This window comes from Homo sapiens, chromosome 6 (genome assembly GCF_000001405.40).
Source record: "Homo sapiens chromosome 6, GRCh38.p14 Primary Assembly".
NCBI lineage: Eukaryota > Metazoa > Chordata > Mammalia > Primates > Hominidae > Homo > Homo sapiens.
Genome location: NC_000006.12, coordinates 24,429,935 through 24,456,121, shown reverse-complemented (window position 1 = coordinate 24,456,121; position 26,187 = coordinate 24,429,935). Strand labels below are relative to the sequence as shown.

Sequence of the window (26,187 nt, the reverse complement as noted above, 5' to 3'; positions counted from 1 at the left end):
CAGCCCTCTGCAACTGTTTTAAATGGTGCTTGTTAGCACCTTGCTTGTCAATGAATTCATCATCAACAAAAGCATTAATTTATTTGATTAAAAAAATTTTTTTTTCTGTACTAGAGATGGGGTCTTGCTATGTTGCCCAGGCTGGTCTCAAACTCCTGGGCTCAAGCGATCCACCTGCCTCAGCCCCCCAAAGTGCTGGGATTACAAGCATGAGCCACTGCACCTGGCCAAAAGCATTAATTTAATGGTTAAGTTATTGTAACAATGAAATGATCTCCTTACACTTGGTCAAATATGTTTAAATACAAGGAACTTTCGGTTTACTAAATAATCACAACAATAAAGGATTGTTTCATGGAATTTTTGTAAAGCTCTGATGTTCTTGGAGATAAATTCTTACAGATTTCTTTTGTAATCTAGTCACATCAGAAGGATATAAGCAGATAGCTGTTATAGTGATTTAAATATTGTAACTTCATATGGTAAAAGCTGGTATACCATGACAGTTTTATAAAGAGAATGTTAGGAATTCCTCTGATTTTAAAATTCAACCAAAACTAAGCCCCCAAAATAAATAAAAAAATAAAACAAAACAACAACAACATACAAAACTAACCCCAAGTATATAAAAGTGACTATTTTCTGGAAGTTTGGATGAAGGCTTTTTAAAAAAATCATACTCCTTAATTCCAAAGGGCATTGCATTTCCTTGGCACAATTTCCTGACAGTCCTTCCTTTCAGGGCTTCTGTGCATTCAGCTCTAGTGCAGGAGATGGGGAGGTGAATGCTGTCTTTACTGGTCGTTCACTTGTGTGTATGGCTACCTCCCTGAAAGATCCGAAAGGCCTCCTGCTGGGCTGGCAGCTACATAAGCACAGCCAGCCACAGGGGCATCCCTAGGGCCATTACTGGCCAGCATTGAGCCTCCAAAGTGCAGAGAACAGCAATGGGTCCACTGGAGTGTCTGTCCCTCCCACCAGGTATCACAGCCTTAAACAACTGCTCTTGACTTTTTCCTTTGTTCTGCCGTTTGTTCTGATTTCGGCTCACTGGGTTCTCTGCCTCCCGGGTTCAAGTGATTCTCCTGCCTCAGCCTCCAAAGTAGCTGGGATTACAGGCGCCTGCCACCATACCCAGCTAATTTTTGTATTTTTAGTAGAGACAGCATTTCACTGTCTTGGCCAGGCTGGTATCGAACTCCTGATCTCAGGTGATCCACCTGCCTTGGCCTCCCAAAGTGCTGGGATTACAGGCGTGAGCCACCATGCTCGGCCTGCCATTTGTTCTTTATGTGATGATAAGCACTAGAATAAACAAATGACTTTTGGTCTTTCCAGCCCCTGTAGTGACACTTGAACCTTTGACTCGGTTTATCCAGCTCTGTAACTGGTGGCTCTTGGAATCTCATCTAGGAGCCTCTACTAAACATGTGGGACTCTTGATTTGGCCCACTGCCAGGTGCCTTTGTGGCTGTGGTAAAAACATAGTCTATTTCACACAAGCTCGTCTTTGATCAGATAACACATTGAAACGAATTGAGCAGATCAGAAAGTGGCCTGCGCCATTGGCTAGAGGGGCTTGGCTGGACATGAATTTCCTCTCTACTCTCAGGCAAGCCCTGGTTTTGTGTATAAGACAAGAAGCTTCATGAGTATACTTTTCATCCTCTCAGGTTATGTAGTCCAGAAATGCTTAGAGGCCTTGATTTGTCCATTTTTATTTTATTTTTCCCCTTGAAGAATGAGACTGAATCACACTAACAATACAACCTGAGAAGTGAATATTCACAACAGTCACGCAGGGTGGAAAAGTCAGTGAGAGAAAGTTAATGGACTGGGCTCTAGAAAGGAAAGAAGCAGGCGACAGCTTTAACCCTAGTGCTCAGTGCATACCATGGTGGGTCCCTTCACTTCCCTAAGGGCAATGACCTCAGCTGACCTCAACCAGGATGGGCACGGTGACCTCGTGGTGGGCGCACCAGGCTACAGCCGCCCCGGCCACATCCACATCGGGCGCGTGTACCTCATCTACGGCAATGACCTGGGCCTGCCACCTGTTGACCTGGACCTGGACAAGGAGGCCCACAGGATCCTTGAAGGCTTCCAGGTGAGACACCATCTCATCCTTTCTCTTCTAGTGGTTAGTAGCTACTCTTGCATTTTGTGGCAGATTCTCCAGGATGAGTAACTAATAACAAGAATAATTACAGTAACAAACAGCTGGTGGTGTACATTTGTGAAGCACTTTTTAGTTTTAGAAGCATGTTTACATCATTTATTTTATTCTATCATTAGTCTAATACCTTCCAAAAACACACATGCTATTGAGAACTGCTTTGAGTGGCCAGTTGGGATGTGATTTCTTGATAATATAATTGATAATATAAAACCTCTTTATACACACACACACACACACACACACGAAATGTATGTATTTATAAAACTTTGTAAGTATTTTATTTTAATTAATTAATTTATTTATTTGAGATGGAGTCTCTTGCTCTGTCACCCAGGCTGGAGTGCAGTGGTGCAATCTCTGCTCACTGCAACCTCTGCCTCCCGGGTTCAAGCAATTCTCCTGCCTCAGCCTCCTGAGTAGCTGGTACTACAGGTGCACACCACCAGGCCCGGCTAATTTTTTTATTTTTAGTAGAGATGCAGTTTTGCCATGTTGGCCAGTCTGGTCTCAAACTCCTGACCTTAGGTGATCCACCCACCTTGGCCTCCCAAAGTGCTGGGATTACAGGCGTGAGCCACTGCATCCGTCCAGAATTTTAGATTCACAGAAAAGGTATAAAGACAGTACAAAGAGTTCCCATGTACTGTTTACTCATTTTCCCCTATGTTAACATCTTACATAATTATGGTATACTTGTCAAAAATTAAGAATAAAAACAACACTGTACATCACTATTAACTAAACGCCAGGCTTTCTTTAGATTTCCTTCTTTTGTCCTAAGTGGTTATTCATCACCTGAAAAAACCCGCAGTGACTACAAACGTTCCTCGTGGAGTCCAAGCATTAATTCCTCCCGAGAGCGCTAGGGTCCTGGAAAGTTTTTCTAACATCAGAGGCTTTAGTTTTTGTAACAGCAATAAGGAGGAGCGTGGGGGGGTGGGGTAGACAGAGCTCTGCTACTAGTCACCAATGAGTGTGGGGCTTTTGGTGATACTGGCCTGGCACTGCATTCTCTGAGTGTCAAGTGCTAGGGGGAGAACCCTAGACTTCCAGTCAGATCGTCGTGGTTCTTGTTCCAGGCAAGGCACTTACCCTTTCGCTGTGAAGTGAATCCTGTGAAGAGAAAATAAGATGGCACACCTGAACGTGCTTGCTTTTTTTTTTTTTTTGAGATAAACTCTCACTGTTGCCCAGACTGGAGTGCAGTGGCATGATCTTGGCTCACTGCAACCTCTGCCTTCTGGGTTTAAGTTATTCTCCCATCTCAAGGTCACAAGTAGCTAGGACTACAGGCATGCACCGCCATGCCCGGCTAATTTTTGTATTTTTAGTAGAGACGGGGTTTCACCATATTGGTAAGGCTGGTCTTGAACTCTTGACCTCAGGTGGTCCGTCCGCCTCAGCCTCCCAAAGTGCCGGGATTGTAGGTGTGAGCCACCACGCCCAGCCATGAACACGCTTTCAAAAATAAGAAGTACAATGATTTATGATCTAGTTTAGGCTCTGATGAAAGGAGCTCTGAATCCAACATGTACAAATAAGGTGACTGGTCAGTGTGTAAGGTCACAGTCCCAGAGGGACAGCATTTTTCAGGGCCTTCTGACACCACATGAAAAATTTCCAAAATAAATTTATCTAATCTTGTTGCTTCTTACTTCTCTACAAAGCCTTTCCCCGACAGACTGTTGTGTAAAGTGTAAACCTTTGGGCACATATAGACAGGGAATAAAGAGAGGCACCTGCTTCCTGTGGCTGCTAAACTCTCTCAAAGACCACTTGGGTGAGAAAGGAAGTGGCTCCATGCCCTCCTCCCCTAGTGACCTTTGATCATTTCAAAGATGGCAAGATAAAGGCATGGACGAAGGATGGAAATCCTGCCCTCAGGCCCTGACTGCAGTGAGCATCTCTGTGTCCTCATTGATACAATGAAGGTTTATGATAGGAAACTCAAGGCCTGGCCTGCTTTAAAGTTCTGTGCTCCTCTCGGAATGACTGGCTGGCCCGTAGGAGGGCCGGATGGTGCAGCTGATAGTGATAAAATGAACCAGTCCTCAGCTGGCAGAGCCCTGAGTTATTGGTTCCCACCCTGCCCTAGCGTGTTTTGTGTCCCCAGGCAACCTTATCTTGTTTATCAAGTTTCTGCCTTACAGAAAGGGGCAGCACTTATAGATGCCACTGCACACGGGTGTGGAGAGATTACCTAATAAATAATGGACGTGGGTCCTTCAGCATGTGTGTTATGTGGCAAGCACCACTGTGTGAAAGGCCATTCGTTGTTATGTAAGTTGTGAAAGAATTGGAGAACCTGGCCGGGCGCGGTGGCTCATGCCTATAATCCCAGCACTTTGGGAGGCCAAGGCGGGCAGATCCTGAGGTCAAGAGATCAAGACCAGCCTGATCAACGTGGTGAAACCCCGTCTCTACTAAAAATACAAAATTAGCCAGATGTGGTGGCATATGCCTGTAATCCCAGCTACTCGGGAGGCTGAGGCAGGAGAATCGCTTGAACCCAGGAGGCGGAGGTTGCGGTGAGCCAAGCACTATTGCACTCTAGCCTGGGCAACAAGAGCGAAACTCCATCTCAAAAACAAAAAACAAAAACAAAAAAAAGAGAAAGAATTGGAAAACCCAGTGAATTACTTTCAGGTTTAGGCTGATTCCAGACGGTAGGATAAGAAAGATCTAGAAAGTCCACTTTGGAAAAAAAAAGTCTGAAGAGATTGAGTTTTCCATCTGTACACTGTTAAAGTGAGGATGCTAACAGTTCCTACCTTAATCCATTTAAAGTGCTTAGAACAATATCTACACCGTCCTACAGGACTTTCTGCACTGATAGGAATGTTCCGTAGCTGTGCTGTCCAGTGCGGGAGACATAAAACACAGGCTTTGAACATTTGAAATGTGGCTATTGCAACTGAAAAACTGAATTTTTATTTATTTATTTATTTATTCTGTTTGTGTGTTTGTTTTGAGATGGAGTTTCACTTCTGTTGCCCAGGCTGGAGTGCAGTGGCATGATCTCGGCTCACTGCAACCTCTGCCTCCCAGGTTCAAGCGATTCTCCTGCCTCAGCCTCCTGAGTAGCTGGAATTACAGGTGCCCACCACCACACCTGGCTAATTTTTGTATTTTTAGTAGACATGAGGTTTGGCCATGTTGGCCAGGCTGGTCTCAAACTCCTCAGGTGATCTGCTCGCCTCGGCCTCCCAAAGTGCTGGGATTACAGGCATAAGCCACTGCGCCAGGGTAGAAACTGAATTTTTGATTCTATTTAATGTTAATTACTTTAAATTTAAATGTAACAGCCCTATTTGGCTAGGGGCTACCACCTTGGTCAGCATGGCTCTAGAACATCCTGAGTATTCAACAAATGTTAGCTATTGTTGCTGATGTTATATGATTATTATTTTAGATACTTTCTTTTTTGTTTGTTTGTTTTTTTGAGATGGAGTCTCGCTGTGTTGCCTAGGCTGGAGTGCAGTGGCACGATCTTGGCTTACTGCAACCTCCGCCTCCCAGATTCAAGGGATTCTCCTGCCTCAGTCTCCAGAGTAGCTGGGATTACAGGCATGTGCCACCACACCCGGCTAATTCTTGTAGTTTTAGTACAGATGGGGTTTCACTATGTTGGCCAGGCTGGTTTTGAACTCCTGACCTCAGGTTCAGGCCTCCCAAAGTGCTGGGATTACAGGTGTGAGCCACCGTGCCCGGCCTATTTTAGATACTTTCGAAGATAAGTTTTGTGCTTAATGTGGGTCTGAACATACACGAGGCTATTTTCTACAAATCTAGAACTCATAAGAACCAACCCTCTACTTTCTGGCATCTCTGCTTCCCCTCAAGGCAGACAGACATGCTGAAAATATACTTAGGGCAGAGCTACCTAACTGATGTGTTGCAGATATGTTATAGCTTACTGCACCTTCGGCTTTTGGGTGGCGGGGGGCGGGGGTTGTCCCAGGCCTCTCTACTCCCTGGGGGTCAGGAGTGCTCTTTCCGAGGCCGTGGCTCAGCCCAGGGGAAGTAAACTTGTGCCTCTTCAGCCCTCAGGTCGGTTTGGCTCGGCCTTGGCTGTGTTGGACTTTAACGTGGACGGCGTGCCTGACCTGGCCGTGGGAGCTCCCTCGGTGGGCTCCGAGCAGCTCACCTACAAAGTAAGGCTGCTGCTGGATAGGGTTGGAGGAGAATGGGGTGGCAGGGAGGGGACTCTGAGGGAGGCCAACGCTGGGATGAGCCCCTGGAGCAAAGCAGACAGCCAGTGTGTGAGACAGAGCATTTGTGAGCAGATAATCTCAGGCCCCTATGGGGTTCTTGCCGTGACCTTGAGTTACCTTGTAGCACCTGCTGCTGCCTCCCTGGCCTTATTTTGGCCCTATGGTTTCCCAATTCCACCAGGTACTTAGCCCTTTTTTTCATCCCCCACCATGCTGAATGCCAGTGAAGGGAGACAGAAATCCCAGCTCATCTGTAGTTTCTGGTTATCACAACAGCGAGGTGACTTCCCTGGGCCTCTCCTCAAATGGTGGATCCCCGCCTGTTGCCTCCTTTCTTACTGAGTTAGAGATCCTGGACCCTGGCCCACAGGGCTTGCTTGCTTCCCACAGATGCTTCCTACCATAGCAGGGACCACGCATCCGGGCACCATGTGTGACTGTGGAGGTCGAGGGCCCTCCCTTGCCAGCTGCCCTCTGCAGACTCAACTCTTGCCCCTTCCTCCTCACACTCCATTTCTAGACATGCCAGCAGTCTGTCACGTCCTGAACTCATCAGGCTGTCTCACTTTGCGACCTTTGCTCGTACAGTTTCCTCTGCTTGAAAAGCTTTTTCTCCCCTGTCTTTCTTTAGGAGTGACATGTCACTTCTTGCAGAAACTATTACCTAACTCCTGGGCGAGGCTGATACTTCCTTGTCCCCACTTAGCATCCTGTGCTTGTACCTGTTATATCCCCTTCTTCCCTGGGTGTCATAATGACCTGTGTGCCAGCCTTTCAGGAGGAAAGAGATTGGTCTTATTTGTCATTGTGTACCTAGTACCTGGCTTATGATGGAAAAGAAGTGCTTGTAGAATGAATGGGGATGGAGACAGGCAAGTTATAAGAGGAACTGATTGGTAACACAGAATAAAATAGCACAGTGTGTATCCTCAGGCAGGTAAGTGGTACAGATGTGGTATGTTGGCATTCAGATGTGCCATGGGTACAACAGGCTGTGGCCCGGGGGCTTCATGGAAGAGCCTGAAACTGTGCTGGTCCTTGAAGTGGGCAAGGAGTTGAGTAAGTCATTCTGCAAGCACACTGCACAATTGTGTGTGGAGGATCTTGAGTAAGACATCAGGGAGGCAAAGATATAAATGACATCATTTCTGCATTGTGGACTCTCATAGTCTGATGGAAGTGACAGACTTTAAAAAAATTCCTTTCAGCCCAGCAGCAATGCGCAGAATGGATTTCTGTCTGTCATTAAGCTCCCAATCATTGGGGGTGGTGATAATTTGACAAGGTCTCGCTTTAATTAAAAGTTTTTTTCGTGGACACAGGATCTCACTGTGTTTTCGAGGCTGCTCTTGAACTCCTGGCCTCAAGCAATGTTCCCACTTGGGCCTCCCAAAGCACTGGGATTATAGACATCAGCCACCATACCTGGACCCAGAGTCAGTCCTTTTTATCTTCTGTTATTTAAGGTTCTTGGGTCACCACCAGAGCCTCATGTCTATCTGCTGTTTGTCCTTATCTAGGGTGCCGTGTATGTCTACTTTGGTTCCAAACAAGGAGGAATGTCTTCTTCCCCTAACATCACCATTTCTTGCCAGGTATGTTTACCACTTTAGCCAGGTGCAGAAACCTAGAACTCGCTGTATCCTAACTGCCACCAGGGCTGGGTAAAATGTGCTTTCCTGGTTTCTTCTTAAGGACATCTACTGTAACTTGGGCTGGACTCTCTTGGCTGCAGATGTGAATGGAGACAGTGAACCCGATCTGGTCATCGGCTCCCCTTTTGCACCAGGTGGAGGGAAGCAGAAGGGAATTGTGGCTGCGTTTTATTCTGGCCCCAGCCTGAGCGACAAAGGTAGTGCCTGAGGGGGAATGGGTGAGACCATGGCTGCTCTGTGTGTCTACGACAACTTATCCTGCATAGGGGTTTATATCCTTTTTCCTTATTCCATATCATTTCACCAACATTTTCTAACAGTCTGTTACTCTTAAAGATGTGTTGGCAAGTGATGTGCATAGATTCACTGAAAATACAAAAGGTGACCCACAGTTTCTAGGTAGAGAGCCAAAGAGGGCAAATAGACTATTCCCATAGTGTCTCCATGTAAAACAGAAACACTGAGGAGGCTTTGCACCGGAGGCATCTCAGTGGTGCTCTCGACTGTCCATAGCTGTTGTTGTTGTTGTTGTTGTTATTGTTGTTTTTTCTTTTTTTTGAGACAGAGTCTCCCTGTGTCACCCAGGCTGGAGTGCAGTAGCATAATCTTGGCTCACTACAACCTCCACCTCCCAGGTTTAAGCAATTCTGTCTCAGCCTCCTGAGTAGCTGGGACTACAGGTGGGGACTACAGGCGCATGCCACCATGCCCGGCTAATTTTTGTATTTTTAGTAGAGACGGGGTTTCATCATATTGGTCAGGCTGGTCTTGAACTCCTGACCTCTGGTGATCCACCCACCTCGGCGTCCCAAAGTGCTGGGATTACAGGTGTGAGCCACCGCACCTGGCCCAGAGCCTTTTTAAATAGCATCCTCTGCTCCACAGAAGTGAGCTCTAGAAATGTATTTCTTGTATGAAGAGTGAGATTCAATGACATTGGGGTCCTGGGATCAGCATGGGGACATATAAGACCTCTGGCAAAAACTCAGCAAAATGAACCCACTTCTATTAGGCTACGAGAAGGACCCTTTCTTTTCATCCCAGTAGTCCTCTCACTTAAAGTATTAGTAAAAAGGATGAGTTGTCTTCTTTAGAAAAACTGAACGTGGAGGCAGCCAACTGGACGGTGAGAGGCGAGGAAGACTTCTCCTGGTTTGGATATTCCCTTCACGGTGTCACTGTGGACAACAGAACCTTGCTGTTGGTTGGGAGCCCGACCTGGAAGAATGCCAGCAGGTGAGGCTGATGCTGGGGGCTGGGAACCATGAACACAGGGGCAGGTACCTGCTGCTATGGAGCGCACTGAGCATGAGGCTGAGGGAAAAGGGCTAGGAAATGCTTGACTTTTGAAGGAAAAGCCAAGGCTCTGGGCAAGATTGCAAATTCTCCTCCTTAGAAATTTAAAAATACAATAGACAAATGTATTATTTTCTCACAGTTCTGGAAGCTAGACGTCCAAGATCAAGGTTGAGGTCAGAGGGTTGGTTTCTCCTGAGGCCTGTCTCCTTGGCTTGCAGATGGCTGTCTTCCCTCTCTGTGTGTCTGTGCCCCATTCCTCACTTCTGTTTTTTCTTTTGGGAGGAGGGGGTGAGGGTTCACTCTGTTGCAAAGGGCAGAGGGCAGTGGTAACTCACTGCAGGCTCGAACTCGTCCTCCTGCCTCGGCCTCCTGAATAGCTGGGACTACAAGTCGTGTGTGCCCATGCCTAGCTAATTTTTTTTTTTAATTTAAAAACATTTTTATAGGGATGGGTTTTTGCAGTGTTGCCCAGGCTCGTCTCAAACTGGCCTCAAGTGATCCTCCTGCCTCTCCTCTTCTTTGAAAGACACCAGTCCTATTGGATCAGGATCCACCCAAATGACCTCATCGTAACTTAATCACCTCTTTAAAGACTCTGTCTTCAAGTAGTCACATTCAGAGATACTGGGGGTTAGGGCTTCAGTGTAGGGATCGGGGGGACCACCACTGAGCCCATAACAGTAGGTACCCCTATATCTCTATCCCAGAGAGTCTGCTGGGAGGCCTGTCAGTTGGGAGGCAGGATGGTGGGTGTGGCACCTGGAGAGCCTGGATGTTGCGATTAACTCCAATAGTCCCCACACTTCCAGGCCTGGGGTCGCAGAGACAGAGCCTGCTGGGAGGCCTGGATGGGGGGAGGTGCATTTCCTTTCCTTGCTCCTGAGTACCTGGCCAGCTGTCAGTCTTGTGCCCTGGCAGCTAAGCCCAGTGTGCTTCATTCTAGGCTGGGCCATTTGTTACACATCCGAGATGAGAAAAAGAGCCTTGGGAGGGTGTATGGCTACTTCCCACCAAACGGCCAAAGCTGGTTTACCATTTCTGGAGACAAGGTATGACAAGCCCTCCCCACACAGGAGAGTGGACACTCCAAGGAAGTTTTCTCACCTATACAATATTGATTTATTGTGTCTCACAGGCAATGGGGAAACTGGGTACTTCCCTTTCCAGTGGCCACGTACTGATGAATGGGACTCTGAAACAAGTGCTGCTGGTTGGAGCCCCTACGTACGGTAGGTCACACACTGTGAAACTGTGCTTCCTTTCAGTCATGTGGCTGCTTGTACATGTCGTATTGGAGGAAAGTGATGAGATCTGGAGCTGAACAGATCTAGGTTTCAATATTTCCTTTTTTCATTAATAACATTCTGTGTAACTTTGGGGAAGTTACTTAACCTCTCAGAACTTTTGTATCACCATCTACAAAACTGAAATTGTAAATACCTATTTCAGGCCGGGTGCGGTGGCTCACACCTGTAATCCCAGCACTTTGGGAGGCCAAGGTGAGAGAATCACTTGAGGTCAGGAGTTGGAGACCAGCCTGGCAACATGGTGAAACTTTGCCTCTACTAAAAATACAAAAATTAGCCAGGTGTGGTGGTGCATACCTGTAATCCCAGCTACTCGGGAGGCTGAGGCAGGAGAATCGCTTGAATCTGGGAGGCAGAAGTTGCAGTAAGCCAAGATCATGCCACTGCACTCCAGCCTGGGCAACAGAGCAAGACTTCATCTCAAAAATAAAATAAAAATAAAATAAAATAAGATAAAATAAAATTTGTGTTTCAAAGCTTTGTTGAAAATGACATATGAAAGTAACTTAGTGTATTTTTAAAGCCCCTATCCCATGGAACTTGGAGCCAGAGAAAAATTGTATAAGTCAGTTCACTAGGAATAGGTCCACTATGAGGACCTATCTTTTATTTTTCTTTTTTGAGACAGTCTTGCTGTGTCGCCCAGGCTGGAGTGCAGCGGTGTGATTATGGCTTATGGCAGCCTTGACCTCCTGGGCAAAGTGAACCTTGCACCTCAGCCTCCTGAGTAGCTGCGACTACAGGCAGTCAGCCACCACATTATCTAATTTTTTATTTTTTGTAGCGAGAGGGTCTCAACATGTTGGCCAGACTGGTCTCTAACTCCTGGGCTCAAGTAATCCTCCCACCTTGGTCTCCCAAAGTGCTGGGATTACAGGCATGATCCACTGCACCCACCCCTGAAAACATACTTTATATAAACCATTATTTTGTTTACTTTATGGGAAAGATAGTCTTTAAAAAAAAAAATAAATAAGAACCATTTCCTCCCAGATTATAAAGGTGAATTATGCTTATTGTGGAAACTTCTGAAAATACAAGGAAATATATAGAAGGAAAAAAAAAACACCCCTTACCCAGATATTTAAAAACTGAAGCTTATACTATATATGATATTGTCATGCCTAATTTTTTTACTTATATCTTAAGCACATTCTCATGTTAGTAAATATTCTTCTAAAACATGACTTTTGATATCTGCATTGCATTTTTTTAATGCCAGCATTTACTAACATCATCCTGTTGCTGGAATTGTAGGCTCGTTTCCAGTTTCACACTATTGTGAATAAGTAATTATTGAACACTCATGTACCTAGTCTTTGACTGCCTTTCTGATTAGTTTTTTGGATAGATTCCTGGAGATGGAATTACTGGAGTAGAGGTTCTAATCTTTCTAAAAGCTCTTGTTATATATCATCAAACTATTTTTCAGAAAGATTGTTGTTTCTTGCAATATGGGAAAGATTTGAATAATAAGCAGAAGTGGGTCAGACAGGCGGGGTGCAGTGGCTCACGCCTGTAATCCTGGCACTTTGGGAGGCAGAGGTGGGTGGATCAGTTGAGGTCAGGAGTTAGAGACCAGCCTGGCCAACATGGTGAAACCTGTCTAAACCTACTAAAAATACACAAATTAGCCAGGCATAGTGGCACGCTCCTGTAATCCCAGCTACTCCTGAGCCTGAACCACAACAATTGCTTGAACCCTGGAGGCAGAGGTTGCACTGAGCCAAGATGACACCACTGCACTCCAGCCTGGGTGACAGAGTGAGACTCAGTCTCAAAAACAAAAAAACAAAAAAACAAGTGGATTAGGCAAAGGAATGGCTAAATTTTTCATTAAATCGAAGACACAGCATTATAACAAAAAAAAAGTGCTGACTTAGCTTTGGAATCATGTTGGAAGCCAAAAGAATGAGGGTCGTGATAACTCAGTATACCACTGGAGGCTATTTGAGTAAGCAGCAAAACTGTTTCTCATAAATGCAGAATGTTGGCAAACTGACAAACTGCATTTGCCACCCAGAAGGAAAGCTGAGGGCAGTCACGCCCCAAGTGCCGTGTTTCTTGTGATTAGGCACATCTGAAGCCTGTTAATAATAATATGAACCTGTGATCAATTAAGCAGCTGACCAATCGTTACCTCCTCCTCCCTGCTTTTGCTAACCAATAAATGGGAAGGGCTGTGGAAGCTCGGGAGCTAGCTGCCTTTGCTCACTAGAAGCCGGGAGCTCTCTTCTTCCTCGGTTCCCCTTCCTTTAAAACAGTTTCTTTTGCTTCAAGTTTTCATTTCTACGTTCGTCCTCCTTCGTTCAGTCTTGTAATGACGCTCTCAAGCAGTAACAGTAGTAATTGCTGTGATGACGGTCTCAAGTAGTAACCATAGCAGTCAGCCACAGAATCATTTTTGCTTTTCAGAGTCTAGGGAATGATTTCTAAGCTCTTGCAACACACATTATTAACTTTATTTTCTTCACCACTCTTTCTACCCAAGTGTTGTGAATTAGAGTTTCTCAAACTTTCTTGGTTTTGGTGCCCTTACTCTCTTGATAATTTTTTTTCCTATGATAAAGTCCAATATAAAATAGAAGGTCAGGCATGGTGGGTCATGCCTGTAATCGCAGCACTTTGGGAGGCTAAGGCAGGAGGATCACTGGAGGCCAAGAGTTCAAGACCAGCCTGGGCAACACAGTGAGACCCTGTCTCTACAAAAAATTTTAAAAATTGGGCCAGGCGCAGTGGCTCATGCCTGTAATCTTAGCACTTTGGGAGGCTGAGGTGGGTGGATCATGAGGTCAGGTGATCGAGACCATCCTGGCTAACACAGTGAAACCCTGTCTCTACTAAAAACACAAAAAATTAGCTGGGCGTGGTGGTGGGCACCTGTAGTCCCAGCTACTTAGGAGGCTGAGGCAGGAGAATGGCGTGAATCCCGGAGCCAGAGCTTGCAGTGAGCTGAGATTGTGCCACTGCACTCCAGCCTGGGTGACAGAGTGAAATTCCATCTCAAAAAAAAAAAAAAAAAAAAAAAAAAAAAAAAAAAAAAAATTAGCCAGATGTGGTGGCATGCACCTCTGGTCCTAGCTACTCAGCAGACTAAGGTGGGAAGATTGCTTGAGCCCAAGAATTTGAGGCCAGCCTGGACAATATAGGGAGACCCCATCTCTACAGAAAAAGAAAAAAAGGTAGGCATAGTGATGGGCACATGTAGTTCCATCTACTGAGGAGGCTGAGGTGGGAAGATCACTTGAGCCCAGGAGTTCAAGGCTGCAGTGAGCTATGATCACACCCACTGCACTCCAGCCTGGGCAACAGAGTGAGACCCTATTTTTTAAAAGATAAATAATAATAGAAAATAAGTTTAATTATAACTTTTATGTATGTATATAATATGCTAATTTATAAAGTGTGTATAAGTATACTAATATATAATATAAATGTATATAATATGTATATATTATATATACATGTATGTGTCTATATATAATGTATGAATGTATATATAACTATATATTATATATAAATATGAATTAATGTCACCATCAGGTTATTGTTATTGATATATTTCACCCAAATTGTTCAGATTTTCCCATTATTACTTGTATTTTACTTGTATTTCACCCACACAGTTTGCGGGGCCCAGTTCCAAATAAAAATGCAGGGCCCCTTGTTAAAACATTGTTGACAATTTCAAGTCAGAGACAGGACAACATGAAGACAGGCATAGGTCCTTTCGAAATGCAGTGCCTGTGTGACCACAGGGGCACATGCCCTGCATTTATGTCCTAACCACTTAGCTTCTCTCGGCACTGTACAGCTTTTCAAGTCTTGGAATCAGGTTAGACACAACTTTCCTCATTTCCTAATCCACAGCAATTTTTTCATTAGTGCCTGCTTTTTATCACAACCATCCCTGAATATGCAGCTTTGCAAAGATGTGGCATCACTGAAACGAATGCAGGACTCTCGTGTCGTAACTGTGACCGGCCTCCACCCAGTAGTTCGTGTGGTGTCAGATGTCACTGTTATCTTTGAAATGTCAAAATATCTACAGCATCTTTGCCAGTTCACTGAAGCGCTTCAGTGTGCAGTTTGGGAATCACAGCTATAAGGCACAGATTAATCTAAATTTGAGATTTTTGATATACTTTTTTTTTTTTTTTTGAGATAGAGTCTCGCTCTCTTGCCCAGGCTGGAATGTAGTGGTGTGATCTCAAGCTCACTGCAGCCTCTGCCTCCCAGGTTCATGCAGTTCTCCTGTTTCATTCTCCTGAGTAGCTGGAACTACAGGCACGCACCACCATGCCCAGCTATTTTTTTTTTTATTTTTAGTAGAGATGGAGTTTCACCATGTTGGCCAGGCTGGTCTCAAACTCCCGATGTCAGGTGATCCGCCCGCCTCGGCCTCCCACAGTGCTGGGATTACAGGCGTGAGCCACTGCGCCCAGTCACTATACCATTTTATATCAGGGGCTTGAACATCCGTGGATTTTGGTATCTGTGAGAGGCCCTGGAACCAATCCTTCGTGGATACTGAGGGATGGCTGTATTGTTTATAGTAGTAAAAAGCTAGAAATAGCCTAAATGTGAAAAGAATCAGATTTAAAATTTTATAATCCACAAAATCTCCATTTTGTTTAAAATGTGTGTTTATAGATATCTGCCTACCTACCTACCTATCTCACTTTCCAGAAAGAAATATATATAGTATATACATTTTCTTCTTTATGCTTTTTTTTTTTTTTTTAATAGTTGGAGTCTTGCTATGTTGCCGAGGCTGGCCATGAACTTCTGGGCTCAAGTGATCCTCCCATCTCAGGTTCACAAGTAGCCGGGACCACAGGCATGTGCCACAACACCTGGATTATGCTTCTTTTTTTTTTTTTTTTGAGTATTTTTTACACTTTTGATAATGATCAAATATAAAAGATCTTCTTGACATCTTCATAGTTTTGACTTTTGCAGTAATCCTGAAAGCTGGTGACATTAAGTAACTTACAGTTGATAATTTTTCTTTTTCTTTTTAAGCCATAGGGTCTTGCTCTGTTGCCCAGGCTGGAGTTCAATGGTGTGATCACAGCTCACTGTTACCTTGAACACCTGAGGTCAAGCGATCCTGCCGCCTCAAGCCTCTTGAGTAGGTCAGACTACAGGCACATGCCACCACACCCTACTTTTTGTAGTGATGGGGTCTCACTGCATTTCCCAGGCTGGTCTTGAACTCATGAGCTGAAGTGATCCTCCTGCCTCAGCCTCCCAAATGCTGGGATTATAGGCATGAGCCATCATGCCTGGCAAGTTTATAGTTTTTCTGAGACACAAATATGAACCACATTACAAGATGATATCCTCTTTCCTGTGGTTTTCAAGAGAGTAGAGTTGGTGAGATGCACCTGTGTTTCACAATAGCTCTTTTGTTTTCTGCTCCCTCCACTGGAAGAAAAGTTCCACATGAGAAGTAAAACACTTGTGTGTGTATTTAAAAAATACCCACCACCCCTGCATCCCAAACACAACCCTAGGGACTAGTGCTCGTGGCAGAAATTAAGGCAATATGGAGGTCTAAAAGATAATGGTCCTTAATCAGAGGGTTTAAGCATTACAGAAGGAATTCTATGTTAACTAGAAGGTATAAGCATTACAGAAGGAATTCTGTGTTATAGTAGCATTCTAGAATTTGGGAATTCATAAAGGCCTCTGCATGTAGCCCTTTTAAAAGCCAAAGTTCTTCAGAATTATTTTCAGTACTGAAATAATATAGAAATGCCTACAACATTACCTTGAGTTTTTTCTCCTTGTCTAAATGTGTATGATAATCCATTGTTTAATTTGCATGATTGAGAAGGTGAGGTGTTTTGAATGGCTGAAATTTCCAAGTGTCTAGATTCTTCTGTTTTAATTCTGAAGAATTAAAAAAACACTTTGATGAAATTATTTTAAATTATATGCTTCTCTTCTTTAACAGACTGTGATGCGTGTTAGAGATTTGGGAGTATTGATTAATTACAATTCTTCCTCATCCTTGTGCATTTCAAATCATTTCTGAAATAGATTCATGAATCATTCAGAGGGATATCAAAATATGTACTTTTGAAGAGCTGACATAGTTGGATTAGAGAACACAGTCTCAATGGGCAGCCCTATTCAGGCTTTCTAATTCTTGCTCCGAAAGCTAGACCTTGGGGTGACTTCTCTGAGATTCTCCCACATGCACTGGGGCCAGTGTTCATCCTGTGGGCGGCAGAGCCAGAGGGAGAAGCCTCAGGTATCCTCTTGCCATGGAAGGACTGAAGCAGGGAGTAGACAGAGAGCTGGAAGTGTTACTGGATTCCTGGGCGCTCCAGGGAGCTCATGGTTCCTTTAGGAGGCACGAAAAGAAAGGGAATGTGGCTGGGCTTGGTGGCTTGCACCTGTAATCCCAGCACTTTTGGGAGACTGAGGCAGGCAGATCACGAGGTCAGGAGATCAAGACCATCCTGGCTAACACGGTGAAACCCTGTCTCTACTAAAAATACAAAAAATTAGGCGTGGTGGCGCGTGCCTGTAGTCCCAGCTACTCGGGAGGCTGAGGCAGGAGAATCGCTTGAACCCAGGAAGCGGAGGTTGCAGTGAGCCGAGATCACGCCGCTGTACTCCAGCCTGGGTGACAGAGTGAGACTCCATCTCAATAATAAAAAAAGAAAAAGGAATGAAGATTTTCTCTTATTTCAACTTTTCTTGATATTTTGGGCTTTCACTCTGAATATTAACTGTTGTGCTGGCACATTGTTCTCTTAGGAGACATTGTGTTAGGTCATGTTGTTTGCCCTGTATCAGAAAGCTCCAGATTGCTGAGCTTTTAAAATACTCTTTCTTATTTCCTACTGTTTTCTAGCTGTTATATCTGACTGTTGTTGCCGACTCTGCTTTGAGCCCTCAGTGGCTTCTAGTGGACAGTTTCCCATAAACAAGGCACAAGTTTGTCCGAAAAAACAGGTCAGATTAGCTCAGTTTTACACACAAAACTCAGTGGACGCTGACGTGAGATTGTATCCACGCACTGACACTTTGCCAGCATACGGCAAACTTCTCAGAGGGCCACTAGCCCCATCAACCCACAGGTGCCATTTATATTTCTGAAATCAAAGCTGTGTTCCAAATAATAAAGTTTACAGCGAAATTCCAACAACTAGCTTTGAGTTTGTTCAAAATTCATTAATTCAAAAAACACTTTATTGAATACTTGTACAGAACCAAGCACCATGCTAGGTACAGTGGATAGAGAGACAGAGACGTGACCGCATTTCTTGTGGAATGGGCGCCTGATGCAGGAGACACAGAAGTGAATGCAGAGCGATGCTGCCCTGCCGTGGGTATTCAGAAGGCACTGGGCACAGCTCATGTCCCCTGTAAAATGCTTACCTGAACTCAGAGGTCCTGGGGTCAGGACACAATCACTTGCCCATGTTTTGTGGGCCCCAGCTGTCTGCAGTTCTTGCAGTTCTGTAGCGTTTGTGCCCAGAGCTAAAGTCCCACTGGACTCGGTGTTATTATGTATGGGAGCACAGGGAAGCGGCCTCTTCTCTAGACCAGCGAGATTAGGAAAGGCTTCCCAGAGGAGGGGACACCTGAGCCAAATTCTGCAGGGTGACAGGAGTAGCCAGCAGAGGGATGTGGACAGGGGAGCACGCGGAGCATATGCCTCTATTCCAGGCAGAGAGCACATCATGTCCAAAGGCCCAAATTTAAGACATAGATTGGGCTGTGGTTTAAGTTCATTTTGGTGAAGTGTGGGTGAAAAGGTTAATGGCGCTAGATCCCCAAGTGGGAGTCAGATTCTGTAAGGCCTTGTGAAGAGTTTGGACTCCATCCAGAGTCCACTTGCGTTTGGATGTGTCAGTCATGGGGGTGACCTAGTTTGTGATACGAGAAAATAAAAAGGTGGCTGTGTGGAGACTGTATTATGGGGATAAGACTGGAAAAAAGAATACCTGCCTGGAGGGAAATCACTGAAGCTCTCTGGTGTTTGTGCCTTGGTGCCCAAGCTGGTTGTACCTCCCTGACTGCCGGAGATGACCAGCTCCGAAACCGACTGTCCTGTAGGATCCCGAGTGATCAGTGTCACTTGAGGATGGGGTGCTATTCCGTGTTCTGTAATGCCTTCCTTTCTGTGAGGCCAGCAGGAACTGTGGTTCGTTTCAGATGACGTGTCTAAGGTGGCATTCCTGACCGTGACCCTACACCAAGGCGGAGCCACTCGCATGTACGCACTCACATCTGACGCGCAGCCTCTGCTGCTCAGCACCTTCAGCGGAGACCGCCGCTTCTCCCGATTTGGTGGCGTTCTGCACTTGAGTGACCTGGATGATGATGGCTTAGGTAAGAAAGGAACAGGACCCTTTGACAAGAATTGAGTCCCTTTGCCCAGGGGGTGGGTCCCCTAATTGGGTCATCTGGGCTCTGCCCTTATAATTGACAGCCCAGTGGCCCAAGGACCTTTAGACAGATCTTGAATGAGGCAAGACCAGAGAGGGAGTTGCACTTCTTGAAGCTGGTAATATGAGAATCACCTGTAGTAATTGCTATTGATGAATGAAGTAGGAAACAAAAGCCTTTGCCAGGATGAAATCACAGCCGACTAAAGGAGATACTAATATTATTTGTAAGAGGTTGGGTTAGGATCCAGTAGCGGAACAAGGAAAAGATGACAGTGAGGAGTCAAATACTTCCTTCTGTCGGTTTTTATTGTTTTCAGATGAAATCATCATGGCAGCCCCCCTGAGGATAGCAGATGTAACCTCTGGACTGATTGGGGGAGAAGACGGCCGAGTATATGTATATAATGGCAAAGAGACCACCCTTGGTGACATGACTGGCAAATGCAAATCATGGATAACTCCATGTCCAGAAGAAAAGGTAAGTGTTCTACAAAATTCTATAACTTATTGGGAAAGGATCACTAATTGCTGATTCCTTGTTAACTCATGTCCACTATAAAGTGCTTACCTGAATTCATACCTCCTAGGGTCAGGACACCATCATCTGTCCATGTTTTGTGGGCCCCAGCTGCCTGCAGTTCTTACAGTTCTGCAACATTTGTGCCCAGAGCTAAAGTCCCACTGGACTTGGTGTTATGTAGGTCCCTGGTCACACAGCCTGCCACTGCTTGGTTAGGCACCCACAGCACAGAAGAAAGAAAACAGGCCATGGCCATTGGAGTTTCTCTTTTTAAAATAGAGACGGGTTCCTGTTCCATTGCCCAGGCTGGAGTGCAGTGGTGTGATCATGGCCCACTGCAGCCTCAAACTCCTGGGCTCAGGTGATTCTCTTGTCTCAGCCTCCCGAGTAGCTAGGACTACAGGCATGTGCCACCACACCCGGCTAATCTTTTTATTATTTGTAGAGATGGGGCCTCACTATGTTGCCCAGGCTGGTATTGAACTCTTGGGCTCAAGCAGTTCTTCTACCTGGCCTCACAAAGTGCTGGGATTACAGGCATGAGCCACCATGCTCGGCCAGCCACTGGAGTTTCATTAAAACGTCCTCTCTTTTGCTTTTTGTTTCATTTCTTTGTTTATTCCTTTTTTGGGTGAGTTTCCTTAAGTTACATTTCCTGGGCCTAAAGCATTTGGCCATTATTTAACTTTTTTTTTTTTTTTTTTTTTTTGAGACAGCGTCTGGCTCTATTGCCCAGGCTGGAGTGCAGTGGCACGGTCTCGGCTCACTGCAACCTCCTCCTCCCAGGTTCAAGCCATTTTCCTGCTTCAGCCTCCCGAATAGCTGGGACTACAGGCATGCACCACCACGCCTGGCTAATTTTTTGTATTTTTAGTAGAGACAGGGTTTCACCATGTCGGCCAGGCTGGGATTACAGCCCAAAGTGCTGGGATAACAGGCATGAGCCACCGTACCCCACCTATTTTAAAAAATTTAAAATTATTTTTTAAATTGCAAAATTAGTGAAAGTTTATTATGGAAATTTTAGAAAATACAAAAATGTACAAAGAGAATTAAAAATTATCTACCTAAAATTCCACTCTGCAGAGCTAATACCTGCTTACCTTTAGAGCGGATCCTGCTAGTATTTTTCCTATGAATTTAATTACTACCATTTATTGTGCATTTAGTATGCATATGCTAAGAACTATGTATCATTTAATCCCCATAAAAGCTATGAAATTGGCCGGGCGCAGTGGCTCACGCCTGTAATCCCAGCACTTTGGGAGGCTGAGGCGGGCGGATCACAAGGTCAGAAGATCGAGACCATCCTGGCTAACACTGTGAAACCCTGTCCCTACTAAAGATACAAAAAATTAGCCGGGCTTGGTGGCGGGCGCCTGTAGTCCCAGCTACTCGGGAGGCTGAGGCAGGAGAATGGCGTGAACCCGGGAGGCGGAGCTTGCAGTGAGTCGAGATCATGCCACTGCACTCCAACCTGGGCAACAGCAAGACTCTGTCTCAAAAAAAAAAAAAAAGAAATTAATATTATGCCCATTTACAGATTAAAAAAATTAAAGATCTCAGCTGAGTGTGGTGGCTTATGCTTGTAATCCCAGCACTTTGGGAGGCTGAGGCAGGAGGATCCCTTGAGCTCAGGAGTTCAGCACCAGCTTGGGCAACATAGGGAGACCCTGTCTTTTTTTTTTTTTTTTTTGAGACGGAGTCTCGCTCTGTCGCCCAGGCTGGAGTGCAGTGGCGTGATCTCGGCTCACTGCAACCTCCACCTCCCAGGTTCATGCCATTCTCCTGCCTCAGCCTCCCAAGTAGCTGGGGCTACAGGCGCCCACTACCACGCCTGGCTAATTTTTTTGTATTTTTAGTAGAAACGGGGTTTCACCGTGTTAGCCACGATGGTCTTGATCTCCTGACCTCGTGATCCGCCCAAGACCCTGTCTTAAAATAAAAAAATTAAAGATCAGCGAGGAAGTTTATTCAAGGTTACACTGCCAGGAAGGCAGGGCACAACAGAGATTTGAACCAAGATCTGATTCTAAAGCCTACCCTTAAGTATTACACTATGTGCGTGCATATTTTGGTTAACAATTGTGATCCTATTGTGCATAATTTGTGCATAATTTTGTAACTTTTTTTTTTTTAATGGAGTCTCACTCTGTCATCCAGGCTGGAGTGCAGTGGCATGATCTCGGCTCAGTAAAACCTCCACCTCCCAGGTTCAAGCGATTCTCCTGCCTCAGCTTCCTGAGTAGCTGGGACTACAGGCGCACACCACCGTGCCTGGCTAATTTTTGTGTTTTTAGTAGAGACGGGGTTTCACCACGTTGGCCAAGCTGGTCTCGAACTCCTGACCTCCAGTGATCCGCCTGCCTCAGCCTCCCAAAGTGCTGGGATTATAGGTGTGAGCCACTGTGCCTGGCCGTAACTTGATTTTTCTTTCTACCTAACAATATACCGAGAACATTTTCTTATGTTATCTGATATTCTTATATAATATGATATTTACCGGCTGATGAGTATTTTATCTACAGACAAACCATAGTTTATTTACCCATTATTCAGGCAACCATTGTTAGTCAATTGTGCCATTTCCAATTTTCATTGTTTTAAATAATATGGTAAATAGTCACATAAATGTTTTTATACATCTGGTTATTTTTCTGACCTGTATTTCTATAAGTAGAATTTCTGGGGTCAAAGGGCATGCACATTTGTAAGGCTAATCAAGAAATGTAGAAATGAGGCTGGGCGTGGTGGCTCATGCCTGTAATCCCAGCACTTTGGGAGGCTGAGGTGGGTGGATCACCTGAGGTGAGGAGTTCGAGACCGGCCTGGCCAACGTGGTGAAACCGCCTCTCTACTAAAAATACAAAAAAATTAACCGGGCGTGGTGGTGGGCGCCTGTAATTCCATCAACTCACGAGGCTGAAGCGGGAGACTTGCTTGAACCTGGGAGGCAGAGGTTGCAGTGAGCTGAGATCACGCCACTGCACTCCAGCCTGGGCGACAGAGCAAGACTCCTTCTCAAAAAAAAAAAAAAAAAAAAAAAAAAGTAGAAATGAGGGTATAAGGGTATAATTAAAATTGATTTTAAAAAGCCACACAAACAGTAATAACATTGTCTCTCTCCTCAATTTTTTTCTTCAGGCCCAATATGTATTGATTTCTCCTGAAGTAAGTATCCCTTGAAAGACTGAAGAAAGAAAAATTACCAAAACAATGCCCCTTGGTTTATTTTAAACGGATAAAGTATTACACTATGTTCTTCAAAGCCCATTAACAGACGGCATGTTTTACAGGCCAGCTCAAGGTTTGGGAGCTCCCTCATCACCGTGAGGTCCAAGGCAAAGGTGAGCCCAAGGACTGAACTTCATTGATGTTTATGTTAGTACTACGGGTGGGATTTGGTGGTCTCACTTGTTAGGTTTATTTCAGATTTTATTTTTATTTGAAAAGGAGAGGAACACACAGAAAGTAACATTCACATATAATCTCATCACTTCCTTGGTGGAAAGTTTCCCTTTTTACTCTTCCTATTTTATCCTCTACAGCAGGGGTTGGGGCCAAGTCGTCTGCCACCTAATTTTGTAAAGCCATGAACTAAAAAAGTCAGCTCATGTTGAGATGGTTGAAAAGAAATCAAAACAGAATGTTTTGTAACATATGAAGTTTAAACGGCAGTGCAGTTTCAGCGCCCACACAGCTGTAGTGGAACATAGCCGGGCTCGTCTGCTGTGGACTGCGCGTGGCTGCTGTCGTGCTGCCGTGGCAGAACTGACTGGTTGCTTTGGAGACTGATGCCCCACAAAGCCTAAGTATTATTATCTGCCTGTTCTCCAAAATTGTTTGCTGGCCCTTGCCTTAGAAAATAACCATTATTAGTATTTTGCTATTTTCTTCCAGACTTTCAGAGTTTTTTCTTTCTTTATTATTTTTTATACAGAACCTTGCTCTGTCGCCCATGCTGGAGTGCAGTGGTGCAAATTTGGCTCACCGCAACCTCCACCTCCCAGGTTCAAGTGATTTTCCTGCCTCAGCCTCCCAAGTAGCTGGGATTACAGGTGCCCACCACCAGGCCCAGCTATTTTTTCAAAAACTTTTTGTAGACATGGGGTTTTGCCACGTTGTCAAGGCTGGTCTCAAACTCCTGGCCTCAAATGATCTGCCTGCCTCTGCCTTCCAAAGTGCTGGGATTATAAGCATGCACCACTGCACCCGGCCCAGAGTTTTTCTGTTTTTCTATGGCTTCAGAGATACACACACACACCTTTTTTTTTTTTTTTTTTTTTAAGACAGAGTCTGGCTCTTGTCACCTAGGCCGGAGTGCAATGGTGTGGTCTTGGCTCACTGCAACCTCTGTCTCCTGGACTCAAGTGATCCTCCAACCTCAGCCTCCTGAGTAGCTGAGACCACAGGTGTGTGACACCATTCCATGCTAGTTTTTGTATTTTTAGGAGACAAGAGTTTCACCATGTTGCCCAGGCTGGTCTTGAACTCCTGGGCTCAAGAGATCCACCCACCTTGGCCCCCCATTTTTTTTGGCTATTACAGACAAGGCCATAGTGAGCATTCTTGTACGTATGTGTAGCTTTTTATAATTGAGCAAGTATCCCCACAGGTGAGAATCTTAAAAGTAGGATTGCTAGATCTAAAAGTGTACACAGTTTAAATTTCGATATGGCAGATTAAAAAGTTTAACCTTGGCTGGGTGCAGTGGGTCACACCTGTAATCCCAGCACTTTGAGAAGCCGAGGTTGGTGGATCGCCTGAGGTCAGGAGTTCAAGACCAGCCTGGTCAACATGGTGAAACCCCGGCTCTACTAAAAATACAAAAAATAGCCCGGCGTGGTGGTGCATGCCTATAGTCTCAGCTATTCGGGAGACTGAGGCAGGAGAATCGCTTGAACCTGGGAGGTGGAGGTTGCCGTGAGCCTAGATGGTGCCACTGTACTCCAGCCTGGGTGATGGAGCAAGACTCTGTCTCAAAAAAAAAAAAAAAAAGTTTAACCTTAAAATATACCTGTAAACCACTGATTGCATTCATCCACTGTATAGGCTATAAGAAATAAAAACAGAGAGGGCAGAGTCCCTGTTCTTGAAAATAAGATTCATATACATGGAAAGTCAAATAAAATGCAAATTAGTATAGGATTAAATGCTAATGAGTAGTCTGAAGAATAAGTCTTTACAGTGGGTTGAAGGGCTGCAGAAGCCTTCATAGATTTATATATATAACCAGGTCTGTAAGACTTGTTAAGTGCTGTGGACCAGGTTCCTGTGGACCAGGGTGGAAGGTGGGAGGAGGAAGAGGATTAGGAAAAATTGTGGTGAAACTGCCCTCTAGTGGCCAATAATTTAAGTGACCCATTTACAGGCAGGTCTAAAAATGTAGGATTAACCACATAACAAAAATATGGTTATTAACTTTATGGGAAGATTCTCGGAAGGTCTGATCACAGGGATCCTTTATATGACAAGCTTGGCTTATATCTAAAATTTTATTTGTTTCAAAAATTAGGCATTGTCAAGAACCCATGTATTATATAAAACTATACATATATCAACTATAGCTTACATCAGTTGAGAGTAGTGGTATATATAATCTAAAAGTAACTTATATTTTATTCCTTTTTGTAAAACACTGCAAATGTACCTTCCTAATTATTGTTTACCTGGGTTAGTGTTAAAATTACTTCACTTTTCCAGCACATACCTGAGCTTGGGGGCATTGAACGCTCTGGGTGTAAAGATAAATCAGATGTTATGTTTCAAAAATGGGCATTGACAATCAGAGGATGATCAGAGTGGCCTTTTTCTGAGATTTGGGTACAAGTTATGTTCTGAAGATTCCTTCCTTTCTGTGGCATAAGAGCATTCAGTAATGAAATTAGTCGTAACAAACTAGAATTAGGATCCGGCGTCTACTTAAGTAAGTAGTGCTCTCACTGTCTCTGTATTTCAGAAACTTCTCATGGGGCTGCCTTCCATCAGCTCAGGAGCCTCAGCAGAGCAGTAACTTAGTGTATAGTGAGCAGTGTTGTATCAAGCACCTGTGAGATAGACAAAGAAACCTGAGACATGGTCCCAGCCCCAGGTGCTTGTAGTCTAGGTGGGAAAATACAGCAGGCCCACAAGACCATCCAGTTTGGTGTATGATGACCAAGAGCCAAACGAGGTCAGACAGCAACTGCAGCAGAAGTCTCTGCTGGTGGAGTCAGGGAAGGGCCTGCAGAGATCATGGGCCCGGAGCTGCATCTGGAAAGATGACTAGACTCTGACAAAACAGAGTGAAGCCGAAGGCCAGGCAAATTTAGTAAATGAGTAATTCCATAAATTGGGAAAGAGAGGGAGAATAAAGTACCATTTGATGCTGTTTTCTTAAGTGTAGATTTTCCCTATTAATTGACACTGGGTATTAAGGGATAAGATAAGCACAGGGCTAAGCATAGTGTCTGACCCATGATACAACCTCCACAAATTTTAGCTATTATTATTATTTCTAGATTTCATCAGTAGTTTTCAAAATTAAATAAGAAACTGTCATATCCTGCTCTGACCAAAATACTGTCAGCCAGTTTGATCACCCGTACCTCATGTGCCAG

The 26,187-nt window shown here is 44.7% G+C and overlaps 1 protein-coding gene across 5 annotated transcripts in view; it reads left to right on the top strand.

Annotated features, from left to right (window-relative positions):
* The window catches only part of GPLD1 (glycosylphosphatidylinositol specific phospholipase D1), a 71,319-nt gene that overhangs the window by 39,166 nt on the left and 5,966 nt on the right, over positions 1–26,187 (top strand). For 4 of the 5 annotated variants that reach the window (XR_007059240.1, XM_017010753.3, NM_001503.4 and 1 more), the window contains 11 exons: positions 1,921–2,107; positions 6,223–6,333; positions 7,914–7,988; positions 8,089–8,245; positions 9,143–9,284; positions 10,291–10,396; positions 10,483–10,576; positions 18,833–19,009; positions 19,386–19,546; positions 22,733–22,759; positions 22,885–22,935. Coding sequence is in view for 4 of the 5 variants with exons in the window: in XM_017010753.3 (XP_016866242.1) it covers positions 1,921–2,107; positions 6,223–6,333; positions 7,914–7,988; positions 8,089–8,245; positions 9,143–9,284; positions 10,291–10,396; positions 10,483–10,576; positions 18,833–19,009; positions 19,386–19,546; positions 22,733–22,759; positions 22,885–22,935 (1,288 nt within the window). In the remaining variant the exon portion in view is untranslated. Of the gene's footprint in view, positions 1–1,920; positions 2,108–6,222; positions 6,334–7,913; positions 7,989–8,088; positions 8,246–9,142; positions 9,285–10,290; positions 10,397–10,482; positions 10,577–18,832; positions 19,010–19,385; positions 19,547–22,732; positions 22,760–22,884; positions 22,936–26,187 lie in introns of those variants that run through there. The other variant, XM_047418658.1, reaches the window with a different exon arrangement.